Below are 10,091 nucleotides of genomic sequence, written 5' to 3'. Positions count from 1 at the left end.
AGCCTGTAGCCACGGAACAGGCTGGCATTTGTTTATTTTAATGACAAGCAGCTAATTTCCTACTGTTTAAAGCCAAGTTAGATGGCACTGAAGCACCACCGTATTCCCCCTTTCCTCTTCAGCTGCCGGCTTTGGGGGCTGTTTGAGCCCCAGTTGGAACTTCCAACCAGAGACCAGGCAAGAAAAGAAAAGGAGGTGAGACAATTTAGTTGCCAGCTACTGACCCTTACAGCAAGCTCTGTCAGTCAAGACTCCTGGAACAGGGGGTCTGGAGTTGCAGAGAGACCTGGATCTGCATGGATGTTCTTATATGGCCAAACCTCAAGACCTCAGGAACTGCAAACTGAAGATAGTAATAAAAGAATACATTAATTTCCCACATAATAGGCAATGTCTACCAGACTAATATTAAGTTTGTTCTCATTAAATATAATGTTGTAAAGGAAAATTCCTCCCTTCCAGTCCCTGGGACTCCCTCCTTAATAATATATTACCAGACCTCCCATCCCATAGGCACTCCCATGTTAAGTCAGTCTGCCCAACAGGTTCCCAGCACAAAAGAGCTACTCACATGCCTGATTGTACTGTGCCAGCCCCTGACACTCAGCTGTGATGGAATATATTTAGTCACTGTCTGTGCATCAGAACTAGAACCTTTGCATTTCCTCCCTGATGTTAAAACGGCATCACCCTTGATGTTAAAAAGTCAAATAGCCTTTGGCTATTAGATCACATATGGCATTTAATTGGGTATCAGAAAGTGATCGTAAAATAAGGAAAGACTCAATCGTCATTTGCAACCTATTTATATGATACTTTATTTTTAAGCACATTATCAGGCTGTATTTATGGATGTTATTTTTAACGTGGACACATGCTTACCTTGTGTTAAGCTTAAGATATGCTGCTATAGTTTTAAACCTCATCCTGCAGTGCTGATTTGACTTAGTCACAGTTATTCACATCTAAGAGTATCAGCTGAAGTACTAACCACTCTTTGAAAAATAGCGCCTTAAAAACTTGATTCCTGAATGCACTCTGTCTCCCTCTGGTGGCAGAAAAGAATTGATGCACTTCCCAAAGCCAGTTTTACAAAACACTCTTACAAATAGAAAACCTGAAGCTAGGACTTTTTTTTTCCCCATAGGTTTTTGGGGAACAGGTGGTATTTGGTTACATGAGTAAGTTCTTCAGTGGTGATTTGTGAGATTTTGGTGCACCCATCACCCGAACAATATACACTGAACCTGATTTTATCCCTCACCCCCTTCCCACCCTTTCCCCCTGAGCCCCCAAAGTCCATTGTGTCATTCTTATGCCTTTGCACCCTTGTAGCTTAGCTTCCCCTTTAAGTGAGAACATACGATGTTTGGTTTTCCATTCCTGAGTTACTTCACCTAGAATAATAGTCTCCAATCCCATCCAGGTTGCTGCGAATGCCATTAATTCATTCCTTTCTATGGCTGAGTAGTATTCCATCACATATATACACCACAGTTTCTTTACCATTCCTTGATTGATGGATATTTGGGTTGCTTCCACATTTTTGCAACTGCAAATTGTGAAGCAAGGAATTTCTGTTTAAAGTAGCTTTAATATCTCCAAGATATGCAATAAATTAACTGTTAGCAAATTATTTCATTTATTCACTCAACAAATATTTATGAAGCATCTAATATGCCAAGCCTGGTTCTGGGGCTGTGGATACAGAGACAAACTCCCTGCCCACATGGACTTAGCTTTTAGCAATAAAGAATAATGTTTTAGCAATTAAAAAATAATGTTTCACATACTCACTGGCCTTTTCATTTTTTTTTTCATTTTTATTTTTATTTTTTGGAGATGGAGTCTTGCTCTGTCACCTAGGCTGGAGTGCAGGGGCACGATCTCAGCTCACTGCAACCTCTGCCTCCCGGGTTCAAGCAATTATCCTACCCCAGCTTCCCAAGTAGCTGGGATTAAAGGCACGTGCCACCACACCCAGCTAATTTTTCATATTTTTAGTAGAGACGAGGTTTCACCGTGTTGGCCAAGCTGACCTCAAACTCCTGATCCACCTGCCTTAGCCTCCCAAAGTGCTGGTATTACAGCCGTGAGCCACCGTGCCTGGCCTGGCCTTTTCTTTTAATGTACATGAAGTGAAATGTATTTACGTGCATGAAATGTCAAATACTCTGGGAAAGCCTGTGATTTTGCATTGCTGCTTTCTCTCTTCAGTTCCTTATCTGTCATTCTCACCTTGACCTCCCCAGGCAGGTCCAGAACTTTCCACCCCGTGCCCTCAAGAAGAACCTGTTGAATAAAATGACTATGGGCCATGGAATCGAAACCCAGGGAATCCAAACTAAGAGGCTTTATTGTCAGCTAAATAAAAGGGCTTTTGCAGTTTCACTTGCCCATATTATAAGCTAAAACATTGACAGTTATAAAAGTGAGGGAGTCTCATAACTAATAGGTCTCTATAAAACTGATGCAATAACGTATCTTAGCAAAAATTTTGTATATAAACACTGCAACTGTGTGAACATGTGCCTGCAGTCCTAGCCACTTGGGAGGCTGAGGCAGGAGGGTTCCTTAGGCCCAGGAGTTTCAGTCCAGCCTGGGCAACATAGTGAGACCCTATCTCTAACAAAAAATAAAATAAAATAAAATAAAATAAAATAAAATAAAATAAATTCTCCCTTGACTGCGTACGAAAGCTCCTGTGCATATCGATGGAGGCAAGGAGAAGCAGTACCTGGAGAGGGTGGGGGTTGTTTTGGAACCTCAGCTCAGCCAGGGGCAATGGAGCTGAGGGCGGAGGTGACAATGCTGTATGACTTCTGTCTCTACTAGCTCCTGAACTGCAGCCACAGATGCCTGTTACACTTGGACCCAAGCAACCCTACATAAGCTGTGAGTCATTGTGCTCGTGAGTCACCTATTCAGAGAATGTGAGTTCTGCAAGCAGCATTTCTCTTCTCTTCACTACTGATGGTGAAGGAATATCAACAGGATGGAGAAAAGTCAATGGTCTGAATATGGTGTTTGCTCTCACCTGTTGTCTGTCCCTGGAGCTGCCTGCTGTAGGCATGTTACTGACAGCAACATGTGACGGCTTCTCCATCGTGCCTCCAAGGGGTTTCTTCACTTCAATTTCTTCCTACATACTGGGCTTGCTCATAGGTCATCCCAAACTTCAGGTCTTAAGAATACTGCCATAGATAGTCCTTTTATGAGCTAGCTGATCATATCTTTGGAATATGGTAAAAATAATTAACACTAGAAGATGGACCCACAGGGAAAAGGGCAGTCAGGTATGTCTGAAACCTAAGAAAGGATTTGGCTGTGTTTTCCAGGGATGTAAGGATAATAGTATATAGAACAGAACACCTAGGCCAAATTGTTGGTTAGGAATGTCATCTCCTTGGTTTGTTTTTTTAGTGTCTTGCTATCTGTTCCGAATCTTAGAACCACAACTCTAAAAGAGTTCTGAAAAATTTTGCCTTCAAGGCTCACCTTTATATAAAATTCACTATGGCTGAAACGAAACTCATATTCCTTCTTGTTTCTGTCTTAGGTTTTCTCTTGGATTGGTGGTGCTGAGGCTTGAAACATTGGAGAAATGTTTGATGTTTTTCTCTCTCTTTTCTTTCCCCTCTCCTTCACTAAGCATGGGACAATTATTCCTTGTGTCTTTTACATACATCTGTTTATTGCCAGTCCCCATGTGGGGATGTCTTGGCAGTTGTGTATGTTGGCCTGAACCTCAGGAGAGAAATCTCAGCCAGAGATAAATTTGGGGATGAAGAAGCCAAGAAGATAACCAGGGACAGGGTAGGTAGAGCAAGAAGATAAAACCAGGCTAAAAACCTAAAGACAAAAATGTTTAAAAAATGAGCAAGGGGATCACAGAAAAAACAGAAATGGGCAAGAGGAGCTGGGCACAGTGGTGCATGGCCGTAATTCCAGTAATTCAGGAGACTGGTGCAGGGGGATCACTTCAGCTGAGACCACCAACATAGTGAGACCTCGTCTCTAAAAAAATATTTTTAAAAATTAGGTGTGGTGGTGTATGACTGCATTCTCAGTTACTTGCGAGCCTGAGGCAGGAGGCTCACCTGAGCTCAGGAGTTAGCGACCAGACTTACCCAATGGACTTGACTTAGAGATGCATTACCTGTGGGAACCCCTGAAACTTAGGGCATGTGCTACAATCCCCAAAGTTCCCTAGAGTAGTCTTAGACTCAGCCCTGTCTGTCACCCTAATGTCATAATGACTCCCGCACTGGTCTATAACAGTGCCAGAAATCTGACTAGTAGGAGTTCATTGATTTGGGTTAAGGCAGTGACTTTTTGTTTTCTAACAAATTTGAAACCAATTATTATTCAGAGCCCAAATATTCAAGCTCCTTCCACTGCTCCTACACCCACAGAAATTAGAGCTGGAGAGCAAGTCAGATTGCTCTGGGGATTAGGAGTGGGTGTGTCCATTCCCTAAGGTGGCTCAGACCTCCTGGTGCAGGGTTTGGGGAACAGGGAGCTCAGTCCTAAGGTAACATCATGGGGATTTTAGTCTCTGAAGAGCTAAAGCTTTCAGTCTGAAAACTGTATTTGAAGATGTCTCAATTCATATTGCCATTCTGTTGGGAAAAGTTACACATTGAGTCAACCTCAGTAATTAATTCCCAATCGTAAATTCATTTGTCAAGTTGGCCAGCTGAGCCCACAGGAAAGTGGCCATCCACGGTGTCAAGGTTAATAGAAGATGGAGAGGACTAACTATTTCAGATTTTCTCACACTTTAGTGGGCATTAGGATCACCTGGGGAGCATGCCAAATCTCAGACTCCTAGAGGCCACCACACCCCTAATTCTGATTCTGCAGACCTAGACTAAGATCAAGAAAATTTTATTCTAACACGTTTTTCAGGTGAGGTTCCCAGGCTGATGGTGAGAACTACACTTTGAAAAACACTGGTAAAAACATTGTAGACCCAGTTATAGGAAATACCCAGAACAGGTAAATCCATAGAGACAGAACACAGAGCAGTGGGTACCAGAGCTGGGAAAAGGGGAAATGGGAAGTGAATTAATGGGAACAGAGTTTCCTTTTGGGGAGATGAAAAAGTTATGGAACTAGAGAGAACCGTTGGATGTGTGCTGTGAATGTACTTAATGACTCTCATTGTATACTTTAAAATGGTTAAAACAGTACATTTTATGTAATGTCTACTTTACCCCAAATTTTAAAATAAACAAATAAATGAAAACACTGCACGCATTTAAAACCTCTGCTGCCATCATCGTCACTGAGCTGACCAAGTCTATGTTTGATTTGCTTCGTGTTTCTGCGTGGTCTCCGCTTTGCAGCTGGTGACTCCATGTAGGTAAATGTGTAAGTCAGCTTAGGAGCTTGAAATTTTACCCCTGTGTTGTTTGGCTCTTGTGTCTTCATCTTACTTTCTATGGTCCCCAGATAAAAGGATGGAGAATAATGTATCTATCCATTTGCTTCTTTTAGTTTACTGCGATATGTGGCCGTTTAGGTGGCACACAATATCACCAGTGTGGTCCCATTTTATATGAAAAGTAAGTAGGATCAGACTGTATTGGTAGAGTGAAATTAATACAGTTAATTTGATTAAAATGAGACCTTCAAACAACAGAACCCTCACATAATTTATCATGAGAAGAGGAGCGACTTTGAAGACCCTTTGTGGCACCTGTGTGCTGGGTTTCTCATTGGCAACGTAGTTAGAATCATTGGCCACTGTAGAGGTTAATCACTTTTATTTTACAATAATCAAGCAATTCAAATCCGCTCACCTTTTCTGTGATAAGTGGCTATCAACAGTATGCTAGCTAACAGATTTTTAAACTTACTTTGGAATCATTTTAGATTTATAGAAAAGTCGTGCGGAGTCCAGAGTCCCACATACCCTTTTCCCAGTTTCCCTAACATGAACATCTTACACGTCTACAGCACGTTTGTCAAAACCAAGAAATTAACATTGGTACAATGCATTAACTGCAGGCTTTATTCAGCTTTCACTCGTTTTTCTAATATTGTCCTTTTTCTATCCCAGGATCCAATCCAGGACACCGCACTGTTTTTAGTTCTCATACTTGTTTAGTCTCTTCCAGTCTAGCGTTTTCTCAGCCTTGCTTTTCTTGACTTTGACATACTTGAGGATCAGCAGTCAGGTATTTTGTGGATGTCCATCCTTTGGGGTTTTATTAATGTTTTCTCATGATTTGAGTGGGGTTATGGATTTTGGGGAAAGAAAACCACAGAGGTGAAGTGCCCTTCTCATCACGTCCCATCGAGGGACATAACATGACTCATCCTTGATGAGGTTAACCTGGATAACTTGGCTAAGATAGTTTCTTCACCAGAAAGTCACCATTTTCCCCTTTCTATATTCTATCTGTGGGAAGCAAGTCAGTCAGTCCAGCCCCTACTCAAAGGGAGGAGAATTAAACTCCATTTCCTGGAGGGGGATTACACAGATTACTTAGAATTCTTCTGTGAGACAGACTTGTTTCTTGTCCTCAGATATTTATTTATTCAATCAGTTATTTATATCAGTATGTCCTCATATATATTTATTTTATTCTCTGAGTTAGAATCCAGTGCTATCGTTATTTATTTTGTTGTGTGATTGTCCCAGTTTTGGCCATTGGGAATTTTCTCAGTTTGGTTCCTGTGTTTCTTTGATATGCGCCTCCCCCAACCGCAGCATTTCCTTATTTTCTGGGACCAACAAGATACTGCACACTTATTTTGCATTTTCCCTGACCCAGTCCTGAAATCAGCCTGTTTTCTTTTTCTTTTGAGACAGAGTCTTGCTCTGTCGCCCAGGCTGGAGTGCAGGGCTGCAGTCTTGCCTCACTGCAGCCTCCACCTCCTGGGTTCAAGTGATTCTCCTGCCTCAGCCTCCTGAGTAGCTGGGACTACAGGCGCGCACCACCATGCCCAGCTAATTTTTTGTATTTTTAGTACAGACGGGGTTTCACTATGTTGGCCAGGATGGTCTCGATCTCCTGACCTTGTGATCCACCCGCCTTGGCCTCCCAAAATGCTGGGATTACAGGCATAAGCCACCGTGCCTGGCCAATCAGCCTATTTTCTAAAGAGTCCTGGTTTCTTTTACTGGAGAATGAAATGGTATTAGAAGCAAGTCTGTGTATTGAGAATGCTCATTGCTACTGGAGTGCCACTGTTTCTAGGTAGATGGACAGATTTATATTCATGTCTCCCACTCTAATCCAGTATCACAGAGTTCAATTCTAGTCTTTCTCTTTTGCTTGTTTTTAACTTCTCTCTCTGACAGTGTGAAATCTGGCTCCCATCGTCTGCAATGCTTTTCTTCATTTGTTTATATGTAAAGTAGTTTCAGAATTGCTGACACTGGCCAGGCATGGTGGTTCATGCCTGTAATCCCAGCACTTTGGGAGGCCGAGGCGGCTGGGTCACCTGAGGTCAGGAGTTCAAGACCAGCCTGGATAACATGACGAAACCCCGTCTCTACTAAAAATACAAAAATTAGCTGGGTGTGGGAGTGCATGCCTGTAATCTCAGCTACTGGGGAGGCTGAGGCAGGAGAATCGCTTGAACCTGGGAGGCAGAGGGTGCAGTGAGCCGAGATCTCACTACTGGACGCCAGCCTGGGTGACAGATGGAGACTCTGTCTCAAAAAAAAAAAAAAAAAGAATTGTTAACATTTACCCCTATGAGAAAGAAATTCACCAACTGGAATACAGTGTTTATGTACAGATTGTTTCGTCTTTAGACTTTAAATATCCAGTCAAAACACTGTTTTCCAAAGTTACCTAGATCAGTGGCTCTTTTCATACTCCTTCAGCAAATGTATGTCATACATTTGTAATACAGTTAGGTCTTTTTGTCGCAGATTAAATTCTATCCTGGTATCCCTCAACATCCTGGATGAGTTTTTAAATTAGCATACAATGAAGCTCCCCCTTTGTGGTGTATGCGCCTATGGGTTTTGACAAATTCATGAAGCCGTGTATCAACTACCTCAGTACCATAGAGAACAGTTCCAATGACCTAAAATAGAACGTGTGTGGTCCCTTTTTAGCTGATTTCTCCTCTAATCTTTGACAATCACTGAACTGTTTTCCATCCCCACAGTTTTGCCTTTTCCATAATGTCATACGCCTGGAATTATATAACATGTAGTCTTCTGGGTCTGGCTTCTTTTATTTAGCAAAATGCATTTAAGATTCATCCACATTGTTGCAGGAATCAAATAGCTCATTCCTTTCATTGCTGAGTAGTATTCCATTGTATGGCTAGATCCCGGTTTTTAAATATATTTGCCTGTTGAAGGTCATCTTGGTTGCTTCCATTTTTTAGTGATTATGAATAAAGTTGCTATAAACATTGGTTAGCTTGTTTTTGTGTGAACGTAAGTTTCTGATTCACTTGATTAAATACCTAGGCGTGTGATTGTTGATTTATATAAGTCTGTGTTTAACTTTATAAGAAACTGCCAAACCGTTTTCCAAAGTGACTGTACCACTTTGCATTTCCACCAGTGATAAATGGGAATTCTTACGGTTCTCTGTCTTCATCATCATTTGGTGTCGTCTGATTGATTTTAGCAATTCTAATCAGTGAGAAGTGATATCTAATTGTGGTTTTAATTTATACTTCCCTGGTGACAATGATATTGATCATCTTTTCATATGCTTATTTGTCATTTGGATTTCTTATATGATGAAGCGTCTGCTTAAATCAGTTGCCCATTTTTTAATTGGGTCATATGTTTGCTTATGGTAAAATTTTAAGAGTTCTTTATATATTCTGAATACAAGGCTTTCATCAGACATGTGATTTATAAATATTTCTTCCAGTCTGTAGCTAGTCTTTTCATTCTCTTAACAGTGTCTTTCAAAGAGCAAACATTTTTAATTTTGATCAAGTCCAACTAAACGTTTTTTTTTTCTTTCATGGATTGTGCTTTTGTTGTTGTGTCTAAAATGTTATTGCCAAACCCAAGTCCTGCTGATTTTCTATGTTTACTTATAGAATTTCATAGTTTCATTTTTTACTTTTATGTCTTTGATCCATTTTAGATTAATTTTTATATGAGATATAAGGTATGTATTCTTCAATATGCCTTCTTTTATTTTGTTGGTTTTGAACATGTGTTTTGAGCATAGACAGTCTTATTTTAGTACCATTTGGTGAAAAGAACATCATTTTTCCATTGAATTTAATTAGCATCTTTATAAAAAATGTTGTTGACTAAATATTCATAGATCTATTTCTGGGTTCTCTCTTCTGTTCCACTGGTCTATGGGTCTATCTTCCCACCAATATCATTCTCTCTTGATTACTACAGCTTTATATTGTCTTAAAATCATGTAGAATGAGTCCTTCAATTTTGTTCTTTTTCTGAATAGTTTTGTTTATTGTAGTCCATTTGCCCTTCCGTATAAGTTTTAAGATCATCTTATTGATATTTTCAAAACAATTTTCTGGGATTTTAATTGGAATTCCATTAAATCTATAGATTAAATCTTAACAACATAGAATTTTTAAATTCAGGAACATGGTATTTCTTTTCCACTTAGGTCTTCTTTAGTTTTTCATCTGTCTTACAGTTGTCAGAATATATATCCTGCACAGATTTTGTTAGGTTTACATTTAAGTACGTCATATTCTTGTGTGTGCTGTTGTAAATGATATTTTTTATTTTAGAAGAATCTAAAATATTTTGATTCCTAGTATATAAGAATAGAAATGGCTTTTGTATATTTACTATGTATCCGAAAACTTGCTAAACAAGCATTTTTGAAAAAAAAGACAATCTGTCTCTATTTTCTCATTGACTATAAAATTCCTATTTCAAAGCACTTTGAAAAAGATGTTTGAAGAAAAACCTATGTATTTTCTCGTATTATAGACAATTCACAAGAAAAAGCACACAGGCCAGATGCCGTGGATCATGCCTATAATTTCAGCACTTTGGGAGGTTGAGGCGAGCAGATTGCTTGAGATCAGGAGTTTGAGACCAGTCTGGCAGACATGGTGAAACACCATCTCTACTAAAAATACAAAAATTATCTGGGCGTGGGGGC

Source organism: Homo sapiens, chromosome 10, assembly GCF_000001405.40.
Source record: "Homo sapiens chromosome 10, GRCh38.p14 Primary Assembly".
NCBI lineage: Eukaryota > Metazoa > Chordata > Mammalia > Primates > Hominidae > Homo > Homo sapiens.
This window is presented reverse-complemented; position numbering follows the sequence as displayed.